Source organism: Homo sapiens, chromosome 1, assembly GCF_000001405.40.
Source record: "Homo sapiens chromosome 1, GRCh38.p14 Primary Assembly".
Taxonomy (NCBI): domain Eukaryota; kingdom Metazoa; phylum Chordata; class Mammalia; order Primates; family Hominidae; genus Homo; species Homo sapiens.
Window position 1 is genome coordinate 197,511,022 of NC_000001.11, and position 27,979 is coordinate 197,539,000.

General features: G+C 35.0%; 1 protein-coding gene across 12 annotated transcripts in view; it reads right to left on the bottom strand.

The window, feature by feature from the left end:
- DENND1B (DENN domain containing 1B) overlaps window positions 1-27,979 on the bottom strand; it is a 277,403-nt gene that overhangs the window by 6,274 nt on the left and 243,150 nt on the right. For all 12 annotated transcript variants that reach the window (NR_125340.2, XM_011509248.3, XM_047447711.1 and 9 more), the window contains 2 exons: window positions 1,850-1,932; window positions 707-923 (listed from right to left, as the gene is read on the bottom strand). Coding sequence is in view for 11 of the 12 variants with exons in the window: in XM_011509248.3 (XP_011507550.1) it covers window positions 707-923; window positions 1,850-1,932 (300 nt within the window). In the remaining variant the exon portion in view is untranslated. The remainder of the gene's footprint in view (window positions 1-706; window positions 924-1,849; window positions 1,933-27,979) is intronic.

The window sequence follows — 27,979 nt, forward strand, 5'->3', positions numbered from 1 at the left end:
ATTTAGTTCTTTTTTCTCTTTTGAAATAAATGTTAATAGCGTTAAGTTCCTCCCAGAGAAAATACAGCATTGAGAGTCAATTTTAAACATTTCCAAATGGCTCTATTAACAGGGATGAAATGGAATGGACTTTGGTTTCCACTGCCTTGCAGCTGTCACCTAACAAATTCAAACTAGATTATATAATTAATGCCAAGTTCTGAAGTCACTTACTATCAGAACAGGATTGTCATTACTCATACTTCTATCTCTGCTGTTTTTAAGCATTCAGTTAAATTTGCATAAAATAATGTTAAAAAATAAAATCATGTTCATTTTTGGGTAAGAAAAATGATTTGAATGAATACATTTACTGAAGTTTTTTTGAAAACTCAGGAAATATGGGGAAAAAGTGAAAACATTTCACATTTTAAAAATTCCCCAGAGACAAGTATAAAATTAGGTTGCAAGAAAACATTATTGCTTGACAAAATAATTTCAATTAATGACAATAACCACTAGAACTAGATAAATGAAAGGGAAAATACTAGAATTTTAATAATAGAAATAATTTCTAGTGATTAAATTTTATCATATTTTTGAAGTTTTGACCCTTACCTACTTAGAGGTTAAATGCTTCTACCAACAAAGAGTATAAGATCCAGTAATCACAGCCAAGGCAAGAATATTTTCTTCTAATTTTATAAGTAAAAAAAAATCTACTAACCGTAGGTTTGTAATCAATGTCATCCATTGATCTAAAGAAATCCAAGCTCTTTGCAGCTGCCAGCTTCCCCTGATCTGAGCTGTGTGTGCTCAATGTATCAAGAATCTCTCCTAGTAAGTCCATTTCACCTGAGTAAGGAGTCTTCACTCTTGTTTCAACAGAGTCATCACTCTCATAGAGATAAGCAGAAGCTTCTTCACCATCTTCAGAAGATAACCTGAAGAAAAATAAAACACGCAGTAGTAGGTAAATAACCATATTTGCTGCATGTAAGTAATCTCTCACCAGTTACATTACATTAATGAGAGAGTTAACAACAAAATCAATAATTAGTTCATCACCAAATTCTTTACCGTGATGTGTATACTAATTCCAATATGGAAATATTTTGTGCATGCATTAAGAACAAATAAAAAGTTTACGGTACCTTATGAAACTGAAAGTAGAAGCAGGGCTTTTCACAGTTTAATTCTGTGGAATTTGGGACCTTTACTTTAGGAATATTAGACTGAACTACTTGGAAAGTCTGCTATAGCCTAAATTCACTTTCAATATTTAATATGGTTTTCCTTTATTTAATCACTTATTTTAGAGGAGAATGCATATTCCTTTACATAGACAGAGATATAGTTAATGAAGAAAAAAGAATGTTCATTTTGTCATTGTCATACATCAATTGTAAGAAGCTAAACATATATTATTTCCCTTATATTAAAATTAATTTTTAACACTTTTTATTAAATTTTCATCTTCTGATATCACCATAGACTTAAGTCTACTGTACCCTCAATTCCATTTCTTTCTATTGACTATTATCACCATTCCTGATATTTAACCTTCCTCTCTTCAGAATGAGTAAGAGCCTAATTTAGATGGGCTTCTATTGCCCCTTTAACACTATCCCAGATATCTCTGTAGACATTATTGCTTTCCAAGAACAAGATATTTAAGGTCCATCTTAGTTTCCTGTCCCAAGATATCCCCCATAACATTCCAGGAGCACTGGGTCCTTTTGCTGAAGAACACTGTAAAAGGGCAACATCTGAGCTCTAAGAGTGCATACTCTTTGAAATACCCTTTATCACCAAAAACTTCTGCTGTTAAGCCATTCCACTTAATAGGACACCAAAATCCATTACTTACTTGCTTGCTCTTTCAATGTCATCATCATCTTCATCATCATATAGAGCACCATCAAGGCTCTTAAGAGGCCTTTTTAAGCGTGCCTGGAGAGAGAGATTGACAATAAATTGGCATTAGCAGTTTAAAATAAGTCTCTTTAGCAAATTTTAAAGCAACAATGTGATTTCATAAGAAACACTTTTGCAAGAAATATGCATTCAGGGTTTTTGAATATTATCCAATAACTTGACAAACTGGGACAGGAAGAAAGGGAAGCAATAAGGTATATTTATCTCAACACTTACTAACTTCTCAAACCAATAAAAAAAAAAAAAACCCAACAGATCACTGGATTGAATACATATGCACAGTCACATAGACTTTCAGGCCCTGATTTAGGGATACTTGACTTATACTCAATTATACCCTCATGCACCCATCACACAGTTTCAACAATTAACAGTATTTGCCAATTTTGTTTCTTTTATCCCCAGCCCACACTCTCTTCCACCCCAAGTATTTTAAAGCTGTGCTTCTCAAATCTTAATGTGCGTATAAATCGCTTAGGGACTTATAAAAATGTAAAAGTGTAGATTCTGGTTCTATAGTGTTTCTGAGTCTGAATTTCTGCATTTCTAACAAGCTCTTAGGTAAGGTCAATACTGCTGAATCTGGGGGGTCACACTTTGAATCATTAAGTTTTTGAAGCAAATCCCAGGCAACCTATTGATTCACCTGAAGTACTTCACTATGTATTTTTAACAACTTTTTAAAAAACATAACCAAAATATCATTATCATACCTAGCAAGTTAATAATTTTTCTTTAATATCTTATAGTACTCAGGCCATATTCATATTCCTCTATTTCTCCCCATATTTTTTAGTACGTTTCTTTGGACCAGAATCCCAACAAAGTTAACATTGTATTTGGTAGATATGTTTCTCAGGTCTCTTTCAGGGGACTCAGTTCAACCTTCCCTCTCCTATAAGCCATCCATACCCTTTAACATGCTATCCTGTCCTCACTTCCTATAAATTGGTAGCTACCTCTGGAAGCTTACCCTCAGTTTCTTTTTCATCTTCCTTTGATTTTGGCAAGAATATTACATGGGTATTGATATGTGCATTTTTACTGTAACATGTATAGGCACATAATGTTTAAATATCTCATTTTTGGTGGTACTAAGATTCATTAATGACTTCAGGTATGATTCGTCAAGCGATCCATTATACATTTCATTATCAACTTTTGACCTGAAGGTTTTAGCATTCCATGATAACGACTGGCTAAATCCACTATTTCATTAGGGGCTAAAGAATTATGCTTTTCTAGAGCATTCCTTCTATATTTATTTGCTGGCATTCTATAAAGAAGAGCTTTACCTTATCAACTATTTGACTATTCCAAAATACAATGTATGGGACAGGCAGGACAAATCCTTGATTTCTTTCCTTTTAACAATTTTGAGAGTGATGAGCTAAGCTAGTGTCCTAACAATCTCTAAAGGCAAGTCATGAGGGTCTTTTTTTTAAATTCCCATTATTAGTAGATACTTGATGTTGTTCAACCCACCACAATTCTTCTTCTTGATGTTCAAATTGTTCCATCTTTGAAATACACCATGATTATGTTTTTAAAATAGTCCTTATCTTTTAGAGCTATAACTTGAAATATTCCCAGATTAAATGATATGCTTTTGGGTATTTATTTCAAAATAATTTAATGGTGGAGAAAGAGAATAGGTGAGGCTGTGACTGAAATAAGATTGGCCATGAGTTGATAATTGGTGAAGGCTACATAAATGGTTTCTGGGGATTTTTGTAAGCTTCTCCTTCCTTCTGCATATGTTTGAAATTTTCAAAATAAAGTTGTTTTTTTTTAATGGCCCCATCTGTTACCAGTGGTAGCCCTTTCAAGTTGATTCCTGTGTCCTTTGACATAAACTCAGAAGTGTTTAGTAAGTTTCCTGTTTTTGGCACAATAAGATGTCTCATTTCAACTTAGAATTTTTCTGCATCAAACCTGGAATCAGCCATTTCTTCTAAAAAACACTGGTTTCTGTAGATGGGAAATGGCATTTAAATTTCGAGTCTGGGTGCTATGGGTGCTTATGGCTGCAAACCATCCTTTTGAATGAACAACAGTAAACTTGAATTTGGAGACTTCAACCATGACACCAGAGAGGAATAACTTTCTGCCTTCTGATTTTGAGTTCCCAATCTAGATAATTGTCTTCTTTTATTGCAGCCACAAAGAGTAAGCAAATTTATGGAACCTATAGGACTGATCCCTACTCCACTCCCTTTATGCCACTGCTTGTGAGTGGCAAAAAGGAAGGAATGAGTAGTAAAATATGCTCTTATAACCCCTACTCGGAATGTGTAGTGAGGTTTCCATAAGTTCAGGGATTAGAAATGTATCTGGGGCCTCTAACTGTCTAAAACTGGGGCCTATCACTTTATCACTATAAGTTTAAGGTACATGAGTTAAACAGAAATCTGCAGAGTAGCCTAAGAACAAAGCCACCACTCACAGCAATATTTCTGTGGGAAAAATACATTTCATGTACTCTCTCCAAAACTCACAAAATATGATACAATCCTTTGTTTCTGAAGACAAGCCATTAGTATTACACTGAGCTCTGTATATGCTTGGCTTTATACCAGCTAGCAGGTCCTGCATTTAAGTTTTTGTTTACAAATGAAACAAACTGAAACAAAGTCTATGAGGAAGCTGAGACTTTATATTGCTATCAATTAAAATCACTGCTACTTAAGAACTAATACAGGAAGATTAGATAATACATACTCAACAGTGTTTATATTTGTAGAGTACTTTGCAAAACACTCTCACATACACACAGATACTACGAAGTTAAATTAAGTCAAGCCTTTGACACTAAACAGCTCTAAGTCTAATGGACCCTACAATAAATCTGGAGTTATTCCAAGAGAAGTATATAATTTGCCCAAGCACACACACTTTATCAAAACTAGGAACCAGAAAACAGAACTTATGTCTTTCCCTATTGTGTTGCAAGTCCCTTGTTCATTTTCTTCCACAAAAGTTACCTTTATATTCTGTAGCTGTCTGCATATACTATAGCATCTCTATTTTTTAAGTCCAACTTTTTTTATGAAGCTACTGCTTTTTCCACAATCAAACATCTACGTCATGATATAAGCTTCACAGATACATTTACATTTTAGTTTCATGTTTCCTAGCTAGACAAGCATTCTATCCATTTCTATATAGGGATGTTAAACAGTATATCTTATGATAAGTTTTAACACTACAATTAAATTATAAACAGAAGTAAAACTGATTAATATGTTGTTTTCCTTTCCTTGGGTGTTGACCTTTGTGTTATCCATACTTATTATACATGTACTTATGTACTTAAAATTATATACATATATGAAATAAGCTTCTTCTAATTAATAGTCATTGAATATATATCAACCTGCATTAGGAACTGCAGTTTATATATAAGAAATAACAACGTCCAAACAGGTGATAGAATATGTCAATTGCTTGATGACTTCTACATAATTGTGTTAAGGTCACAAAAAAAGAGAAAAAATTAAGGAGAAAGATAATCATAATGTAATCGACATTTAAGACAGAGAAGAATAGCAGTAGAGATAATCTGGGTCCATACAAGCTCAGCAGCTGATGGTGTTCTGGTGGGTTGCGACTCTGAAGCACAGTGCTTTCAGGGGAAATAAAGGACAGTTTTCCCCATGTTCGGAACATAACAACACAGGGAAAAAAGGCCTGGTCACAATCTTAAAAATAAAGGTCTTTTGTGGGGAAATGGTAGTAAGTAAGTTTAGACTGCAGAAAACATATTGTGTATTCTTAAGGGTGCCAATACCCAGCCAGTAACAGTACATCTTCATCTAGGTTAACAAATCACAGACATATCATTATTAAAAACATGCATATTAACTATGCAGGACCTGAAATGTAAATGACTATGATAGAGAAAAATAATCTGAACCCACACAATAAAAATAAAAAATATATACATTATTTTAACACAATTGGGTATAGTGACTTATCCTTCAACATCCAGCTCAAATGTAGCCTCTGGAAAGCTTTATCTGCTAAGTGTTCCTCTGTATGGCCACATATTTGGTAAACATTTGGCAAATGTACTATTAATCTCATTGTGTTATCTGCTCGTGTGTCTGCCTGCACCACTACACTCAGAGCTCTCTATAAGTGGGATTCAAATTTCATACTTCTTTGTGCCCTTTGCACCCTACTGTATGCCTTCCTAGCATGGAAGACAGTAGTAGCATGAATGAGGATGTGCTTACTGGGTGTTTGTGGATTAAAGAGATGCTAGAAATTCAGAGAATAATTAAATGTGGCTGTTGCCTTACTTGGGGGAAGTACAGAATAGCAGCTTACAGAAGTTTCTCAATAACTATTTGCTGATGAAAAGAAAAAAGGAATAAATGACATTCACTTGCCTTTCATTCATTAGGTCCTGCAAGTTCAAGGTCTGCACCCTAGGGTTCCCTTTGTTCTAACCAAAGGTATCACCATGGCCTTCTTCAACCCCTTATATTTGTCCTGATTTGTCCTAGCACAGGACCTTTGCATATGATTCCTTTACAAGAAACACTTTTCTCTTACATTTATCCTCTTTGCACTGTCTTTGTCTATACACATCGATTTTCATTCAAAAATACGTAGTAACTGCCTACCCCATATTGAGTCTCTATTATTCTGTCTTGTAGAATGTTACAGTCTGTAAATTGCTGACAGAGTGATCTTTTTAAAAGGCAAACCTAATCATGCTATACTCCTATTTAAAGAAATCCTTCAATGGCCCCTTACAGTCTTCAGGATAAAGCTCATACTACTTGCCTTGCACAGAGGGATCTGGCTATGGCAGCCTCTCTGGAGGCTTCACCTGCCATAAAGATGTTTGCTCCACACTACTAAACCGTCTCCTTCTCTTGTATACTTCTCAATGTCTTCTGCCTCTGTCCTACACGTGGGCTGACATGCTACCAAAACTTCTTTCTTCCTGGCTCTTCCCCCCAGCCTCCCCATGTTTTGTTTGTTTGTTTGTTTGTTTTTTAGTTATCCTTCAAACCTTGGCTCAAGAGTTTATCTTTCCAGGAAACACTCCCTTGCTCACCAATTAATTTATATGCCATTACATTCTCTCTCCCACCGTACAGTAGGCTTTTGAGGGCAGACCCCTTGCCTTGCTAATTTATCTCTTGTGCCCTCAGAATCTAGCACATTGTGTCATACATACTAGTTCCAGGAAAACTGCAAAAGACTCTGAAAGGAGCAAAATGATTATGAGGTGTCTGACCAGTGGAATTATGAATGCTGTCTAGAAGGTCCTGTGGGGGTTATCAAGTTTTGTAGTGCTCTGCATCTTTCATTGTCTTCAACTATCTTGCCAGGATATAATTGGACAAATTGTATAACCAACGCCTTATCTTAAGTGGCAGTAATGACAATCCACTAGAATGGAACAAAGAGGTTGTTGTATTTATGCAGTTAATGCCCACAAAACCCTCCCAGGAAAACTTACATGCTGTCTGCCTGAGAAAGTCCAACCTTATTGGGGTAAGGAAGGCCTTTTTCTAGAAAACCAGGAACCTTAGCAAATTTGGAGAATCTCAAGAGGAACTCACCTTAATTTACAGATGTTTCAGGTAAACCATATGGTGGCAAGTTTTCTTGGGCTTAGTTGCTTAGCTTCAAGATAGCAAATAGCAGAGACTATATAGGCTCAATCTGAGGTTTCTTATGAAAATTTACATAAGTAAGGAAATTCTGAAGGCTTAGCTAGTCAATACTGCATGGCTCTAGATTTACAATGCAAACTCAAGAAGGCTTAAATGGTTAATTAGCTTTCTGGTTGCCCCAACATAAATAGGCCAAATCTAGTAAGAACAGTCTTCTTTTTGTGACTAAGAACAATCTTAGAGATTATTATGAACACAAGTGGGGAGACTGTCGGGAAAACTGTGAAAGACTTTGAAATGGGCAAAAAAAATATTGCTATCCTCCCAGTGGAATGCTGAGTGCTGTCTAGCATTCTTTTCCAGGTTTTTCTGATACTATACAGGTCTGCACCATTCATAGGTTCTATTTTTATAGCTCTGTAAAGATAGAAATTAACTTGTGAAAGACTGACGGTAATGCAAATGTTTCTTGTCCATAGAGATGCAAGTAAATTTTGTCCAGTGAAGATGTAATTATTACATTGTGGATATTATGGTTTTGTATCTGTCAGCATATACATTTCAGTACTCGAGTGTTTCTCTTTTTCAGATTGTCCTTTATACCACCTTACTGGGGTTTCCATATTAATTAATGAGCTAATTAAAATATGAGTCATAAGTTTATTTTTATTGTAAAATTATTCTTTAGGTCAGGCAGAAATGTTTTCTGAATAAATGAATATCTTTATACATAGTAGGTAGTTTTTGCTGAGAACCTATTAATGAACTGATAAGAAAAACATAAAGGATAAAGTACTATACTAGTTCACTGACATAAACATTTTTAGTGTCCATGAGGCACAGAAGGGTATTATATTCATTCATTCAACAAAGATTAAAGAAATGCCTGCTTTGTGCCAGGCATTGGGCTACACGCTAGAGCACAGTGATAACTAAGAAGAGGCCCCTTGTCCTCATGGATATTATATTCTAGTAAATGAGACATGAATTAAATTGAACAGTCATACAAATAAGCATAAAAATTATGACTTCGGTTAATTTGTACTAAACTATGATTGCTATGAAAGCCCTTCAGGAAGTTGACCTAGTGTGGGAGGTCAAGGGAAGTCTTTCCCTGAAAGATATTTGAGTTGAGCTCTGAAAAGTTAGTAGGTTAGTTAGATGATGGAAGATGTAGCAATATGTGCAAATGTCCAGTGGTGGGACAATCAGGGCAAATACTAAGGAATGAAAGGTAACTATTGGTGCATTGTGGATTGGGGCTTATGTTGGTACATGGGATTTTTTAAGGGGCCCATTAAGACTTGCAGTTATCCTCTTAATCACTAGATGGCAGACATATATTAAGAAGGCAAAAGCTGGAAATTTAAATTCAAGGGGGATTATAATAGTAAGGTGGGGGAAATCATAGATTTAGCAGGGAAGTATGGGAGATGAGAATTTAGTAGGGGCAGGCAGGCATGGGATAGCCTCTGGACTTACAGGTCCTGATAATGAAGAGCAATAGAAATCCATCTAATCAAGAAATATTTATTGAGAACCTACTGAAAGCTGCTACTGCGTATTCCCTGAAAGTCAGTAGCTGTATCTCATTTTTCTTTCAGTTCTTAGCATCTCTTCACTTCAACATCCATTAAGCACTTATTACATGCATACTACTGCCTTCCATGCTGTGAAGCATAACAAAATAAATGAAAAAGATGTTCCCTTTTCTCAAGACACTTAAAAAATATAGGGTGAAATGCCAAAATACTACATATAGTAGAGCAGTTATAAATAAAAACTTTATTCCTCATTGTATGAACATAATTGATAAACTTTTTGATCATAGATGAAAATCTTACATTAAATGACCATTAATACTGATAAGTAGTGTCAAATTGTTGATGTTCCTAAATAATGAAAAAATAGGTCCAGTCAGCTAATAATATAACTGTAACTACATATTATAAACATCGGTAAATTCTGAGATCAAATAAGAAGGTATAGAAGTTTCTGAACTGTACAGACCTGGTGTAGCTATCACATTAACACTGGTTATTTCACTAGTCATGTTGATGCTGTGCAAATTAGTAACTCTCTTGAAAGACAGTACTGTGCAAAACAAGGGTACATTTTTTTGGATGTAAAATACATCATGAGAAAACAAAATAAGCAAAGTTTTATATCATTCTGATACAAAGAATTAAGAATAAAATGGGGAATTGGATGTCACACAACCTCAATTAGACTGCTCCTAGGGCCTAAACACACATAATTGTAAAAGTTTTGCTCCCCTGAAAATGTAAAATGTCAAGTACACATCTAATATATGTAAAAATTCATGAAGTGAACATTCGTATAACAAGGGATGCTTGCTAAGAATGTGAAAAGGTACTAAACTAATGAAAAAGGCTATCAGCATGCAATACAACTTACTAGAGGAGATATTCTACTAGAAACACTGACCCTACAGGTGGACACTAAGTGAAAAAATATATACTGGTAAAGACAAGAAGGAAAAGTATTTTATATGAAAGAAAAAAATGTAAGAAAATGTACACAAAATGTGACAGAGGTAGAAGGACCAAGACACAAAATCATAGAACTTAATGTCTGAGGAGATCTCAAGAAATAAGTTTAGTTTCGTTACAGTAAGCAAAATAAATCTTTCTTTTCACTGCAATGGTTTCCAGAAAGTGAATCAGAAAGTAGAATGATGAAAATCACTCCCCTGATGCACCAAGGAGACTGTTAACCTTGCAGTTACCATTTTGATCACCAGGTGGCAGACAAATATTAAAAAGGCAAAATGCAGGGTAAATTTAAATTCCTGGGGTTTGGGAGGGGAAGGAATAAGGGATATAGGCAGACGAATGAGAAAATATAACTTTTTAGACATAAGAAAATTAAGATGCTTGTAATACATAAATTTTTTGAAAGTAGGTACAATCTGTACTACCCTCCATTTTACAGTTGAGGCAACTGAGATCCAGAAGTGTTACCTTGCTTATCTAAAGTCTACAACAAATCCCCAAGCTTATGTATTTTGCAGCCTAAGAAAAAAATACCTGCATGAAATAATATGTGAATAAATTAAATAATAATGTATAATTATAATAGTGACATCTTAAAATGCATGGCAGTTTATAATTCAAAACAAGCTTTAAAAAGATGTGTTTTAATTTGTATAGGTAATAACTAAAGAGTTAAAAGACTTACCCATGATTGACTTGCTTCAATGTGTTAGCTACTTTATGTACTGTATTTTATTTCATTTAAATATCTACTATACAACAAATTTGGTGAACATTTTCTCTATTTTACATATTAGGAAACCAAAAGATTAACAAAGCAAAGTGACTTGGGCAAGACAAGGTAAATCATAAGTGACAGAATGTGACTCCAACCCAAGTGTTCTGACTCATGAACAGAACTGTTTTCATCATAACTATGCTAGATAAATAAGTCCAGAGAGACCCAGAAGAAATAAATGTCCAAGAACTAGCCTGAGAAAGGCTAGCTCTAAAAATGGCAAGCTATAAATCTCATTTTTTAAGGCAAGTGGTAGTTTCAGAATAATAAGAGTGCTAATGTTCCAGGTAGGTGAGATGTCAGGATGAAGAGACAAGAGCTGAACATACTTTGCGAAATATGCTGAAAACATACGTGTCAGGGCAAAAAGGCAAACTGGAAGATTATCAAGATACGTATTTGGTGAAGTCTGATGAATTCAGTTGATTAAGGGCTGTTATTATTAGGCTAAGGACACAAAATTTTACACAAGCATCAGAATTACATTCCTTGAGCAGGTGACTGCTATGTGAGACTAGGTCACTAGGAAAGATTCTGATGTGGCCGTAACACATCCAAGGACCCTTTACCAATTCTCCCAGTCCATAGTGATTTCAGAATCCTTGTCAGTTTTATTCACTTATTTCTCTACCACTCAACTGTCATCTGATATATTCTCCATTATAAAGGCAGTGTTTAATTTTAAGTACATTCCTCTCTTACCAAATCCTTGAGACTAAGAATCATATCTTTTCATTTGTTTTGCTTCTAATATCACTTCCACTTCAACTTAGAAGGTAAAACCTGCAAGAGAATGTCACTCCCATCCTAACAATGAGAAAAAGCTGGATAATCTTTTTAAAAAATCATAATTTTTGTTGAACCTATGAGACCTGTGTTGCAAGTCAACCAAGTAAACTGAATTTCATATATTAGAAGCTCCTCCAAGGAGAGATGAGAGACAGGATTAATTTCACCATTGGCAAAGCACAAGGGAAGAGGTAGCTGCCATATAAACAGGTAAGAAAAAAATCTGCTAAAATGTCAATAAGGTCTTAAAGGCCAACCATGGGCTAACATGTCAGCTTAGAATAGCTGAGCGTCTCAAAGACAGGGGGAGTTTGCACACGCAAGCTCTTTTCCATATGTAAATTTCTTTAATTTTATTTCCAATTGAGGTAACTCTACTACCTCGTGCTCATAAGAAAAATTGGGAGCAGTACAGGAGACTGAAAAGCACTCCCCTTGGTGGTTCAGGCTTGCAGGAAGTGACAGGCTGCACAGGGACAGGCATGAAGTCCCAATGACCTTTGAGGACATTCATTTATATAAAACAAAAGCCTTAAACTGCTGACAAACTCACTGCCTCCCAAGACTGCTGGGGGAAATGTAGAAGTAAAACCTTTATCTGCCCTAGGGAAGAATAAGAAGCCTTCTTAAGAACAGAATCCTATATTGATACCAAGCAGAGGTCTACTACCACTGAGCAGGGCAGAAAAGCCTCGGCCACCTAAGACCAATCACAGATATAAGGAAGTTTCTCTGCCATGAAAAGAAAGTGGAAGGATGCTAAGAAAGTCCCACTCCTAAGGCACGGGGGCGCATGGCCCACTTAAGACAAGCATAGAGAACACATAAGGCTAGGATCAACTAACTAGTCACAGATGTTAACTGCTTTGGAGGGGCAAAAACATTGAAAGAAAAGCCTCTATATAGCTCAGGGGTTCCAGGACTGCTGATAGCTCAGAGTGAAGCAAGAACACTGAGAAAGCTTTCCAGTACCTTCTTTAGAAGACTCTACTCTAAGCACAAGATAATAGCAGCCCATTACAGGCAATGATATCAACAAAATCAAAATCCAGTTCATTTTCCGATGGACTCAGCCTCTTATACAAACAGCATGATAGAAGAAGAGCCTGCCAGTTTCTAGGTGTAAATACTATTTAACTGTTTCTACCCATTTCTGGGTGTAAATGCTGTTTAACTCTTTCTATACATGGGGTCCATTGTTCAATTAAGAATTATAAGACATGAAAAAGCAAGAAAAATAAAGATGGACAACATGCATGAATAGATGGAACGATAGCAGAGAAATGGAATCTATTTTTTTTTTAAGTCAAGTGATAAAAAAAACTCAAATGATGTAAGACATGAAGAATTCTTCTGATGGGCCCATTGGAAGACTAAGGAAAGATTCTGTGCTCTTTAAGACAGGTCAATAGAAATTATTCAAAATGAAACACAAAGGAAGAAGAGAGCAGGAAAAATAAGACAAACAAAAAAATCAACAAGAAGAAACAAAACAGAGCATCCAAGAACTGAGGGATATTAGAAACCAGTCTAATTCATTCTGCTCCCAACGCATAGTTGGCATTCATTAATTTTTTTTTGGTATGTTGTTGTTAAAAGTTGACAGGATATAAACAATATTACTAATATTTATGAAACTTCTGGTGACTGCTGGAAGAACAAATTCTGTCACTACACTAATTCTAATCTTCACAATAACTCTATGGAAGTGGATATAATTATCAATATTTTATAGATCTGAGGGCTAAGAGGATTAGAGAAGTTAGGAAAGTTACTCAAGTTCACATACCATCCAAGCGGCACACTGTTCTGATCCTGATCTCTTATACTACAAAGCCTGGAATCTTTACATTCCCGCAGGGGGTCTTTCTATTAAGTGATGAGGGTGATGGTTGGATGTAAAAAGGAAGAGTAAAAATAAACATCAATGAAGTAAAGTCTTTCTGAATTTGTAAATAATGGTCCTTAGTAAGTTAAGAGGAGATAAGTGATCTTGAAAGCTCTAGATCAGCAGGCCTAGCACAAAGTAGGTGTTCAGAGGAGGTATACAATCTCGAAAGCTGTAAACCAGCACACGCTAGATACTGGTTGTGTTGAACTGAATTAGACAGACTCTCCATTATGGTATGTCCATTATGTTCACAATGCATTAAATGCTTATTAATGCTAAGTTGGGGTCTGTTCTAGAATTTGACTAAAGAAATCTGCATATTAGATTTTAGAGAGAATATGAGAAATCAGAACTGACCCCTTTACAGACTGCTTTTACTGAACACAGATTAGGAAGTTTAGTTTCTATCTAAAAGATCCCAGAAACACAGTAGTTTATAATTCATTTCCCCATTGTTAATCAGAAACTACATAAAAACCCATTCAATGGCAGCACTCTATCAGGGATTCTAAAAGACTGTCTCTCACTGAAGTGTGTTAATAGGTAGAAAGAAGGTCTTGTATTCACAGGAGGTCTCATTATTCACCTGTGTTTATATGTAGTATGGTTGTGAACTGTTAATACTTTTAGCCAACTTTTAAAGATAGTTCATATGCCAAGTAATTATATCAATTTTAAATTTTTAAAATACATTGTTTCATTATTTTTTTCTGGTCTTTAATATTTGAAAATGCAAATTCTACCAAAGACCCTGCACTAACTTTTCAGGACCAAAAGATTATTGATCAGTGCAAATACAAGTTTTATAAGACTATTAAATAGTATTCTCAAAACAAAATAAATAAGTCAGTAACCCTTTGATAAATGGTAAGCTATTTGCAATTTCACTTTTGTTGACAGGGTTTCAATATTTCAACATTTAAAAAGGTTTCTTAATACATGACAAGTCTACTGTATTATCAGTAAGACACAGAATTCAGTTCCTCTCACTAACTAATGTGAAGATGACTTTTCTAGCTGGGATAAATAATTTAGAAGTCAGTACTGAAGAAAAGAACCATATTATTTTCAATCACCTTAGTAAATTATGTTTTCAAAAAATATACAGCTAAGGGTTAAAATATTTGTTAGTAAAATAATTATAGCTGCATTTTATTTCTCAGATTTACCATATTAATATATAATGAACATAAATGTGTATGTGTGGAATCACACATAAGTAGAGTATTAAAATGCTTCTGGTGTTAAATGAATCAAAGGTCTTAACAGAAATTGCAATTATATTTTGGTGTCAGAATCAAATAATACTAGTTTTCAAAAGCATTTACTATAAACGTCAAAGACACTAATAAAGGCAAAAAGAGAACAGATCTGTGAAATAACTGATATTATATTCATATGTTAGAAAAGCCATAAAGAAACTTCAGAGAAGGTTGAAAAACATAGTCCTATTTTGTAATTAGTATAGGCGCACAGGCCAACTTAAGATATTTATGTATTATTCTAGTGTTTTATGTTAGGAAAACATGTTAGGAAATATAACAATGTGTAGCAGATACAAATCCAGCTCAAATTATAAGATCCTATTATACCCCCATAGTTAGAGATCTATTGACATTTCTGAAAATTCCTTTCTCTTGGGGGACACTAATAGGCAGCAGCAGTAGCCCTACAAAGAAAAGACTGGTTTTTCCTTTCATCAACACCAGCATTGATCTCTGACAAACTTTAAAAGCAGCTCTATATTCAAAACCAGAAGAAAATCAGCATTTCTTTATCCTAAGATTCTTGGAAAACAATAATAATTTGTTTACAAAAGGTAGGCACTTTTGGAATAGAGAACTGTTGTTAATTTAATCAAGACCCCTTACAAACAAAAAAGGCAACAGGGAAAAAAAACAAAGTCAAATAGGACAGAATATAGGGAGGAAAAAATATTAATGATGTGATTACTGATGTAAAGTCTAGAATGGTAGTATTCACTAGATTTACTAAATGGAGAAATTGAGTACCTTTGTTTTTGTTTCAAGACATTGTAATAAATGTCAGTCATTTCTGGCAATAAATTTGAAGAGTAAAATTACAACATTAAGGTACATGTCAACTTTAAAATGTCTCAAAATATATACTGAACATGTTCACATAAAAAGATTATCTTCCATTATATGTTATTAATATACTAGTATTGTTCAGCAGAGCTAAACATTTTAAAAATGAAGTCCAAGCAAGTTATTGAAAGGAGCTGGTTTTGAATTATTTATTTGATAGAATTATGTTCTTGAATAATCTTATGACAATATAAAGGTCTCAATGTGTATTCTGTTGTGTTTCTAAAAGACACACTATTCTGAAAGGCGCTAAAAATTTTTTGTGTAACTATCTTCTTTTAAGGAAAGTACTACATAATGTCCACTAGAGGGCACCCTTGTAATCCATAACTGATTTAAAACAAACATTTAATTATAATCAAATTTAATATTTTGGAAATTAATATTATTTCAACAGAGAAACAAAAGAGAAAAATAACTTTCTGTCACATTAACAATATGGAGAGTGTATTTTTCAAAGTGAACTCAAAAGATCAATTTATAAATTATTGACATTAGTATTAATATAATTAGTCTACATATATCTTTGGAACGCTGACTGCTAAAATGTGTTTTCATTTAGGCAGTATTTTTTTTATGGACATGGACGTGTGTTAAAAGAAGAACATTCACTTAACTTATTTCAAAAGAGTTGATCACTTGAAGGTTTTTTTTTGTTTTTGTTTTTTTTCTGAGGCAGAGTTTGGCATGATCTTGGCTCACCGCAACCTCTGCCTCCCGGGTTCAAGTGATTCTCCTGCCTCAGCCTCCCGAGTAGTTGGGATTATAGGCATGCATCACTATGCCTGGCTAATTTTGTATTTTTAGTAGAGATGGAGTTTCTCCGTGTTGGCCAGGCTGGTCTCGAACTCCTGACCTCAAGTGATCCGCCTGCCTCGGCCTCCAAACGTGCTGGGATTACAGGCATGAGCGACTGTGCCTGGCCTATCGCTTGAAGTTTTACAATATTTTCTTATTACTTTAACATTTCAGCTTGATAACAGTGTTCTCAATACTGAGCCAAATTACACAGTGATAAAAATAAAGATTGTCTTGCTTATCATGATTTGATTCAATTATTTGTATTATTTTGTAAACGTTTATTTTACAAAGTAAAGTATTCTTTCTAATTTTCTGCCCCACTCTCACCCCATGTAACAACTATCTTTCTTTTTTTGATTTACAATCACTTTTTTTTTGGTCAAAAGTAAGTGGTTACTCTCCTCTATAAACACTGAGTACACCATTTCTTTCCTGACCAGTAAGGCAAACTATTCAATAGATAGTATTTTTCCAAAGATCCCAACAAGTATACAGTTTTCCGAAATCTATTACATCATCCGAACAAGAAACATTGTATTTAATTACATTTATTTTATTCCCAGAGTCCAATGAATTCCTATGAATGAAAGTGTTTCATAAATACAATACTATAAACCACACCCTACTAGGTGTGGACATCCCATCTTTTCTTATGCTTAGGAACTAAGTAATTTAAGAGAACCTAAGATATTCTTTTCTTATAAGTTTCACAGAAAATTACATCTGTAGCATTTTAAAATATGACATTTATTATATATAAAAATAAACTATTTGATTGCTCATATTTTTAAATAAGATGCTAACATATTGAGATTTCTCTTAAGTCCCTGTTCAATCAAAACATGGCTTTGAAATGCTTTACTTGTAAGTCTCTGCATGCATAAAAGTATATATGACTTCTGAGCATATTTTAAAATATAAAAGTATGTTACTCATCAACTATAAAATGAACTCATAGCTATTGTGCTATGTTCCACAAATCCATTAGAATGTTTTATAAACCATTAAATACATAAAGATCCAAAAAGACAAAAAGTTTCATTTCTAAGTGTGATATCACCTTGTATAATGGATAAAAATATAAAATCACAGATTATATTTTATGCTTAAAACATTCTTATGGCCGGGCGCGGTGACTCACGCCTGTAATCCCAGCACTTTGGGAGGCCGAGGCGGGCGGATCACGAGATCAGGAGATCGAGACCATCCCGGCTAAAACGGTGAAACCCCGTCTCTACTAAAAATACAAAAAATTAGCCGGGCGTAGTGGCGGGCGCCTGTAGTCCCAGCTACTTGGGAGGCTGAGGCAGGAGAATGGCGTGAACCCGGGAGGCGGAGCTTGCAGTGAGCCGAGATCCCGCCACTGCACTCCAGCCTGGGTGACAGAGCGAGACTCATCTCAAAAAAAAAAAAAAATTCTTATTTGTGCATTCAAAAGATAACTCTTTATACCTCAAAACTATTAGTCTGTATGTGACTATATTAAGTAAAATAAACGTCCACCAGTTTAATAGTGCTTGGTCTAATAGTAGAAATTATGACTATTAAACATATTTCTATTTGTAAACACTTTATTTGGGTAACATTCCAAGTGAGAGTATTTATCAACAAGCATACTGCTTTGTATCACACTGCAAATGAAAAATAACTTTCCACTCATTTTCTCATGCTGTTTTTACATAATTAACTGGAGGTTGAAAATCTAAAAATATTGCTATTTTTCCCGACATGAAATAGTTAAGAGTGATATATATATATATATATATATATATATATATATATATATGTGTGTGTGTGTGTGTGTGTGTGTGTATATGTATATATGTATATATATGTATATATGTGTATATATGTATATATATGTGTGTATATATATGTGTGTGTGTGTGTGTGCACGCGCGCACATGTGTATGTGTGGGTGGGTGGGTGTGTGTGTGCATATGCGTGTGCCAGGGTTTTAATAGGGCTTAACAACAAAAAGCTTCAGTCCCCCACTTTCCCTAGGTTTTGTTGTGGTGATTTTGCCTTGCTTAGGGCCATCCATCTGTTAATGTCGACTTGTAATACAGCTAAGCTCTCATGCTTGTTCACTAGTATAGTTGAGGTGTCTGTGAGTCTCATGAAGACACACAGAAACATACACATTATAACTGCTAGACTAAGCCACGCATGGCTAATATGGAGCAATATCTCAGATATATATAACTTTTACATATTATTTAAAGAAATTTCTTATTCTTAGAAAAGAAAATGTTAGTAAATGTTTACAAGTAAGTATTTTTAAACATAATCTCAGATTATAGATTTATGTTATCTTATATTTTTCACTAAGTCTCCAGTATTCTATTCTAAAATAAAACTGATGAAAGAACATAAGTACATAGGATTAAGACTGTTCTGCACCATGACCAGTGGCTATATTCTCAGTGGACTCACTGGCCCTGTTTTCAATAAAACCAGAGAAGGATCCTTTCCCTGGAGTCCTGTTAGGCTGGGGCTGCTGTTGGAACTGTCATCTTTACACAAAAGGGAAAAGGGTTGGGTTTTACAAATGTGGAGCCTAATTGGGAGATCTTCATGGCTGTACCCTTGACATTTATTTAAGCCTCATCAACAAAACGAGCAACAGCCATACTAATTAGCAGACCAGCACACAAATTACTATTTGTTGGATGTGGACTATAGATTCACAATCTATTCCAAAGATAAGCTAAATAATGGAAAACAGGTTTAAAACACAGGCTTAGAACTTTGTTCTTTTCTACAGCACACAGATTGTAAAACTTCATAATGTTTTACTTTAAAATACATTCTTGGAATTTAAATGATCATAATCCCATTTTCATCTTTTGAAAAACAGATGAAAATAAAGTCTCTCACTGACAAGTCTAGCTGGAAACTGGAAATGTAAAGTTCTTTAGACAACTGAGATCCACTTCTGAAATGAATAATCAAATGGACTAGGAATAGGATGAGTGAAGACTATACTCAATTTTACTCACAATAAAATGACATACTCAAGGTCTTCTAAACTTATAAATAAGATATTTCTTGGTACAATAAGTTTTATATTTCTATTCAAGTCATAAACTGGGATCTATGATCATCCCTACTTAGAATGAAGATGGATAATTTTAGGAGTCCTAACTACTTTAGTGATTAGAGATTATTAGTGATCCTGGACTATAACTACCAAGAGAGAAATCAGATGGTGCCACTGCTACAGAGACCTGGAGTTCAAGATATATGATATGGTAACCATAAACAAACAGCTACCGATTATCAAGTACTTATTATGTGGCAGATATTTTATATACATTATCTATAATGCCTATAGCATCCTGGGAAAATAACTTGTATTATTATTTTACAAATGTAAACATTAAGGCTTAGGGATATTTTGTTTTGCTCAATGTTAAATCCTAGTACCTTTTTCAAAGTTAAGTTCTGTCTGGCTCTAAACTCCATATCCTTATTTCTAACTATCCCTCTTCTACAATCACTCCATCCAACATAAAGGCATGACAATAGTGGTTAGGTACCTAAGTTCTAGAATCAGTCTGCCTGCTTTTTAATTCCTATTCTGCTATTTATTACTTGTAGAACTCTGGGCACATTTATTAGTCTCCATTTGTTTCTAAATCTGAAAAACGCGGATAATAATTCTTGCCCTGACTGGATTGTTGGAAGTTTTAAATGAATCACGTAAATACAAACATACACAGACAGCCTCACTGTTATCAAAAAACTGTCCATCTTTTCCAGGTCTTCTGAGGCTGCTCTAGGGCATTTTTCTACTATTTCAACTGTATAAAAATTGAAGTTTGAAAAATAGTAGTAGGAACATGAAAATTATCTAGATTACAAAAATCACAAAGGTCCCTGCAGAAATTTGCCTTTAGGCAATTAAATTCACCACATAACAAATCTTTTTTTTTTTTTTTTTTCTTTTTTTTTTTTTTTCATTTATTTTTATTTTATTTTATTTTATTTTTTTTATTATACTCTAAGTTTTAGGGTACATGTGCACATTGTGCAGGTTAGTTACATATGTATACATGTGCCATGCTGGTGCGCTGCACCCACTAATGTGTCATCTAGCATTAGGTATATCTCCCAATACTATCCCTTCCCCCTCCCCCAACCCCACCACAGTCCCCAGAGTGTGATATTCCCCTTCCTGTGTCCATGTGATCTCATTGTTCAATTCCCACCTATGAGTGAGAATATGCGGTGTTTGGTTTTTTGTTCTTGCGATAGTTTACTGAGACTGATGGTTTCCAATTTCATCCATGTCCCTACAAAGGATATGAACTCATCATTTTTTATGGCTGCGTAGTATTCCATGGTGTATATGTGCCACATTTTCTTAATCCAGTCTATCATTGTTGGACATTTGGGTTGGTTCCAAGTCTTTGCTATTGTGAATAGTGCCGCAATAAACATACGTGTGCATGTGTCTTTATAGCAGCATGATTTATACTCATTTGGGTATATACCCAGTAATGGGATGGCTGGGTCAAATGGTATTTCTAGTTCTAGATCCCTGAGGAATCGCCACACTGACTTCCACAATGGTTGAACTAGTTTACAGTCCCACCAACAGTGTAAAAGTGTTCCTATTTCTCCGCATCCTCTCCAGCACCTGTTGTTTCCTGACTTTTTAATGATTGCCATTCTAACTGGTGTGAGATGATATCTCATAGTGGTTTTGATTTGCATTTCTCTGATGGCCAGTGATGATGAGCATTTCTTCATGTGTTTTTTGGCTGCATAAATGTCTTCTGAATAGACCAATAACAGGCTCTGAAATTGTGGCAATAATCAATAGTTTACCAACCAAAAAGAGTCCAGGACCAGATGGATTCACAGCCGAATTCTACCAGAGGTACAAGGAAGAACTGGTACCATTCCTTCTGAAACTATTCCAATCAATAGAAAAAGAGGGAATCCTCCCTAACTCATTTTATGAGGCCAGCATCATTCTGATACCAAAGCCAGGCAGAGACACAACCAAAAAAGAGAATTTTAGACCAATATCCTTGATGAACATTGATGCAAAAATCCTCAATAAAATACTGGCAAACCGAATCCAGCAGCACATCAAAAAGCTTATCCACCATGATCAAGTGGGCTTCATCCCTGGGATGCAAGGCTGGTTCAATATACGCAAATCAATAAATGTAATCCAGCATATAAACAGAGCCAAAGACAAAAACCACATGATTATCTCAATAGATGCAGAAAAGGCCTTTGACAAAATTCAACAACCCTTCATGCTAAAAACTCTCAATAAATTAGGTATTGATGGGACGTATCTCAAAATAATAAGAGCTATCTATGACAAACCCACAGCCAATATCATACTGAATGGGCAAAAACTGGAAGCATTCCCTTTGAAAACTGGCACAAGACAGGGATGCCCTCTCTCACCGCTCCTATTCAACATAGTGTTGGAAGTTCTGGCCAGGGCAATCAGGCAGGAGAAGGAAATAAAGGGTATTCAATTAGGAAAAGAGGAAGTCAAATTGTCCCTGTTTGCAGACGACATGATTGTTTATCTAGAAAACCCCATGGTCTCAGCCCAAAATCTCCTTAAGCTGATAAGCAACTTCAGCAAAGTCTCAGGATACAAAATCAATGTACAAAAATCACAAGCATTCTTATACACCAACAACAGACAAACAGAGAGCCAAATCATGGGTGAACTCCCATTCACAATTGCTTCAAAGAGAATAAAATACCTAGGAATCCAACTTACAAGGGATGTGAAGGACCTCTTCAAGGAGAACTACAAACCACTGCTCAAGGAAATAAAAGAGGACACAAACAAATGGAAGAACATTCCATGCTCATGGGTAGGAAGAATCAATATCGTGAAAATGGCCATACTGCCCAAGGTAATTTACAGATTCAATGCCATCCCCATCAAGCTACCAATGACTTTCTTCACAGAATTGGAAAAAACTACTTTAAAGTTCATATGGAACCAAAAAAGAGCCCGCATTGCCAAGTCAATCCTAAGCCAAAAGAACAAAGCTGGAGGCATCACACTACCTGACTTCAAACTATACTACAAGGCTACAGTAACCAAAACAGCATGGTACTGGTACCAAAACAGAGATATAGATCAATGGAACAGAACAGAGCCCTCAGAAATAATGCCGCATATCTACAACTATCTGATCTTTGACAAACCTGAGAAAAACAAGCAATGGGGAAAGGATTCCCTATTTAATAAATGGTGCTGGGAAAACTGGCTAGCCATATGTAGAAAGCTGAAACTGGATCCCTTCCTTACACCTTATACAAAAATCAATTCAAGATGGATTAAAGATTTAAACGTTAAACCTAAAACCATAAAAACCCTAGAAGAAAACCTAGGCATTACCATTCAGGACATAGGCGTGGGCAAGGACTTCATGTCCAAAACACCAAAAGCAATGGCAACAAAAGACAAAATTGACAAATGGGATCTAATTAAACTAAAGAGCTTCTGCACAGCAAAAGAAACTACCATCAGAGTGAACAGGCAACCTACAAAATGGGAGAAAATTTTCGCATCCTACTCATCTGACAAAGGGCTAATATCCAGAATCTACAATGAACTCAAACAAATTTACAAGAAAAAAACAAACAACCCCATCAAAAAGTGGGCGAAGGACATGAACAGACACTTCTCAAAACAAATCTTTTAAAAGAATTTGGATACTTGAGCCAGTTCTAACATGACAGTGATGCTACTCTTCAGTAGCCTTACAGTAGGAAGAAAAGAGTGTATATTATTTCCACTTGTACCTGTTTTCACCTTTTTTAATGAGGTTCAACAGCTAGTAAACTAAGCTGTCTTTGAGAGAGGTATTAATGAGACTGAGCATTTCAAATAATAGAAACAGCACAGAAAAGACTAAATGAAGAAAACTAAATTTCTGTCTTCCAAAACAAAAGTCTTTGTCTCTGCTAGGTACCTCCACCAGAATGTGAACTCTTGTGACACTGAAAAGATTTGTGGATCTAAAACATCTAACCTATTTCTTTGGAATGACTGGGTAATTCATAAGCAACTTTTTAAAAACCAAAACTTTGCGGATTATGAATCATGTAGCTGTGCTTTTCTCTTCTTTTTGGCTGTGCAGGGAATAGGCCTTAACAGCTTCTTAACTACATTTAACATTTTCTCTGCCTTAAAACTTACCTAATTTTAATACAGTTTAATCTTTTTAAGGTTCTTTGTAAGATATTAAAGTATTTTTGGAAATAGGTAGAATATAAATGAATAGACATTAGTTTCTCTGACATACATGCTGATAACTAGACTTTAACCACATCCAAATATTTCTAGAAACATTACATATTTAGTTGAAAATCTTAATATACTCAGATACCAATATTATTATACTTGGAGAGTTAGGAGTAAGAGAATTCCTGGATTTGGTAATCATCATGCGACAGTATGCCCGTGGCTCTAGCATCAGCTTTCTGCCTCTTCCATAACATACTGTATCATATTTCACTTAAATCAATGGGGCTGGATTATCTCCAGAAAAGTGAACCAAAGAAGCTTCTGCAATATCAGACTGCAAAGAAAAGGCAGCAGACTATGGCTGATGCCTTTTGATTTCCTTGCCCAATGTGCAAATATAGTACCCTAAATTCATTTCCACCTGTAGCCTTTTTTGCTAGTGTAAGTGGCTCAATTCTCAGGAGAGAAGGCAACATCAATCCATTAGGGTAGGCTGACCTTAAACTTATCAAACCCCAGATTTGTGGTACAAATTTCCAGCCTCCAGGCATTTAAAAATGCAGATCTGTTTTTGTTATTTTGCAAATATGACTTTTTGGCAAATAGCATTATGGCAGTTCCCCCTTACCCACGGGGGATATGTTCTAAGACCCCCACTGGGTGCCTGAAAGTACAGTTAGTACCAAACCCTATACAAACTATGTTTTTTCCTAAACATACATACCTATGATAAAGTTTCATTTATAAATGAAGCACAGTAAGAGATTAACAACAATAACTGATACTGAAAAAGAACAATTATAGTAATACTCAGAACAGCATGTCATTAAAAGTTTATGAATTATTTATTTCTGGGATTTTTCATTTAATATGTTTTGACCACACTAACTGTAGGTAAATTAAACATTGAAAAGCAAAATAGTGTGAAGCAATCAGAAACAGTAGACATCTTGTGAGATATTGTCACAGTCCTTAAAACCACTTCTCTGAGAACTGCTTCCCCTGTTCACCCCACTCACCTCTACTGCCCTTCCTGTGTCCTTGGTAACATGGTACTCTCCTTGCCTCTCTGGCTGGAGTTTATTGAACGAAGAATTAATGCCTGGTCCAAGTGAGCTGATTACATTCTTCCTTAAGGAACTGGATTCTAGAATTATTATCCATTTCTAGTGGCTGCTTCAACTGAGGGCCTATAAGATCTGTGTCAAGGACACAGAGAAGCTGAGAAAACCAGTCTACAGAATGCACAATGAACAAATAAGCAGAAAGAACAGGCCAAGCATTAAAGGGGGAGTGGGAGGGGAGGAGAGAAATGAAGGAACAGGGGATGGGAGAGGGAGGAAGATGGAGAAAAGAAGAGGAAGAAGAAAAGGGACAGAGAGGGAGAGAGGAAAAGAGGGAGAGAGACGGAGGGAGGGAGAGAGGGAGAGAGAGAGATTGAGAGAGAGAGAGAGAGAGATAGATGAGATGAGATGAGATGAGATGAGATGACATGAGATGAGTAGGGAGAGAAGCTGATATTCTTCCCTGATTACTTTTTCCATTTCCTAGTTCTAATCCTACCGGAAGCCTAGATATATTCCTGCAATTAGATGTCCTAAAGAATGCCTATATCCTTATAATAAATGGCTTGATATTATTTTATTTAATTTGTGAGTTTGCTAACACTATTAAAACTAAATAATTAAAATCAAGGATTTGATGATAATTTCAATGTAAACGTACCCGCTCTGCTTTTATAAATAAACTGTTGGCCACCAATTGGCTATCATTTCAAAGCAGTAACAACCCAACATCAATTCAAAGAAGTAACATTAGTAATGCAAGATAGCATGGACTCTGGAAGCCTTGGGAAAAAAATTAAGGGTGAAATGTAGCAGAAAACAATTGCTAGAGGGCCCAAAATTTAGCTCTTTGTCAAATACATATGTGAATCTAAAACTAAAAAATCAAATTTCAATTACAGAAAAAAATGCAAGCAAAATCCTAAATTATAATAGATATTAGTAGGCAGGATATGAACTCTTAAAAATTTTGCTATTAAGATATATACAACACAGACCAGGCTCGGTGGCTCATGCCTGTAATCCCAGCACTTTGGGAGGCCGAGGCGGGCAGATCATGACATCAGCAGATCGAGACCATCCTGGCTAACATAAACCCCGTCTCTACTAAAAATACAAAAACAAAATTAGCCAGGCGTGGTGGCGGGTGCCTGTAGTCCCAGCTGCTTGGGAGGCTGAGGCAGGAGAATGGCGTGAACCCAGGAGGCGGAGCTTGCAGTGAGCCGAGATCGCACCACTGCACTCCAGCCTGGGGGACAGAGCAAGACTCCGTCTCAGAGAAAAAAAAAAAAAGATACATACAACACACAGATATATTTACCTATTTATATAATGGGACACATAACGAATACAAAGAAACATACATACTGGGTATACATGTTTCCTGAAACTCAGATATTTATCATTTGAAAACTAAAGATTGTTATTCAGATATTATCAACATTTGCATCACAATTCTAAACATGTATGTTTAATCAATTCTTATACACCAGGTAGGAAAATCATGTTAGAATTCTTAAAGAATAAGCCCTACTCCTCTCAATTCCTGTTATAATTATTGCTGTCATGTCTACTGTAAACCATAAAATGCTAATCAATGCAGATAACTGAATTAATGATAATATATAGTAGCCCTGAAGACTTAGTGTAAGTATACACTGAATGGAACCCATTATTCTATAAGGTTTTCCGTAACCTAATACAATTTTCTCTATCAGAATGTACAGTGTGAGGACTATAGTTAATAATATTGTATTGTATACTAGAAAATTACTAAGAGAATAGATTTTAGGTGTTCTTACTTTGCAAAAAAACAGGTAAGATAATAGATGTGTTAATTTGCTTGAGGGCAGTAATCATTTCGTTATGTATATGTATATCAAAACATCATGTTATACACGTTAAATATATATAATAAAAAAAGAAATTGTCTCTAGAAGTTAACAGAAAACAAAAACAGAAATCAGTAATGTATTTTTTAATTACATTATCATAAAAATGCTATGCATGTTAAAGGAAAGAAGACTTTAAAATTTTTTTTTAAGATCTACTTTACAGCATGGTGAATATAATTAATAACAGAGTACTGTACATTTTAAAATTGCTAAGAGAGTAAATTTCAAATGTTCTTCCCGCAAAAAATGTTAAGTATTTGAGGTGATGGATATGTTAACTAGCTTTATTTAATTAGTCCACATTACATTCATGAATCATAACATTACTTTAGACCCTATAAATTTATATAATTATAAACCATCAACTTGTAATGAAAAATAAATTAATTAAAATATGAGGAGCTAATAGTAGTTGTCGTAATTTGAAACTGATATTTAGGAAATGTGTTTCTCCAATATAAATAATGTTTTTTTACATCTTAAAGTATCCTATAGGTAACAAAGATCTCATATTCGTTTTCACAGAAAATCTACTCGCCATGGTAAAGATAACCTAAATGCTCCATATTAAGCCATAAACATTTTACAACAGTATTTGAGATGTTAAAGCTTGAAAACAGACAAGAATTGAACATATTAGTGGTGGGAAAAAAAACAACAGAAAAATCAATAGCAAATCCATTATTAGTTCACACATTAATAAATGTTCTCCAGTTAACAGCAGTAACAAGAAAAGGTTTCTGACTTCGGGAATAATTATTTTATTGAAGGGCTTATTTTAGAACAGACAATCAGTACTGACTATCAGTATGCTACAATCACACAATTCTAATGTGAAAATATCAGCTTAATAAATGAATAATCACGAGGAAATACTCAGTATGTTACAAAAACAGTCCCATGAAAGCAGAGAATTTTTGTGTTTTCCTTTTATATATACCTGGTATCTAGAAAAGTGTGTGGCATATAGTGTTGATGAATGACTGAATTAATGGGATTTTTTTTTTTTTTTTTTTTTTTTTTACAAAGGACTAGAGTTTCAGTACAGCTTCACTATCCTTTCCCATTCTTAAAGACTGTTGTTACGGTTTGAATTTTGTCCTCTCAAAATCTCATGTTGAAATTTAATTGCCATTGTAATGGTATTAAGAAGTGGGACTTTTAAGAGGTGATTGGGCCATGAGGGTTCCACCCTCTTGGGTGGGATTAGTGCTGTTATAAAAGGGTGAGTTTGGCCCCCTCATCTCTCTTGCCTTTCTGCCTTCCACCATGGGATGACACAGCAAGAAGGGCCTCATAAGGTGCCAGTGCCTTGATCTTGGACTTTCCAGCCTCCCGAAC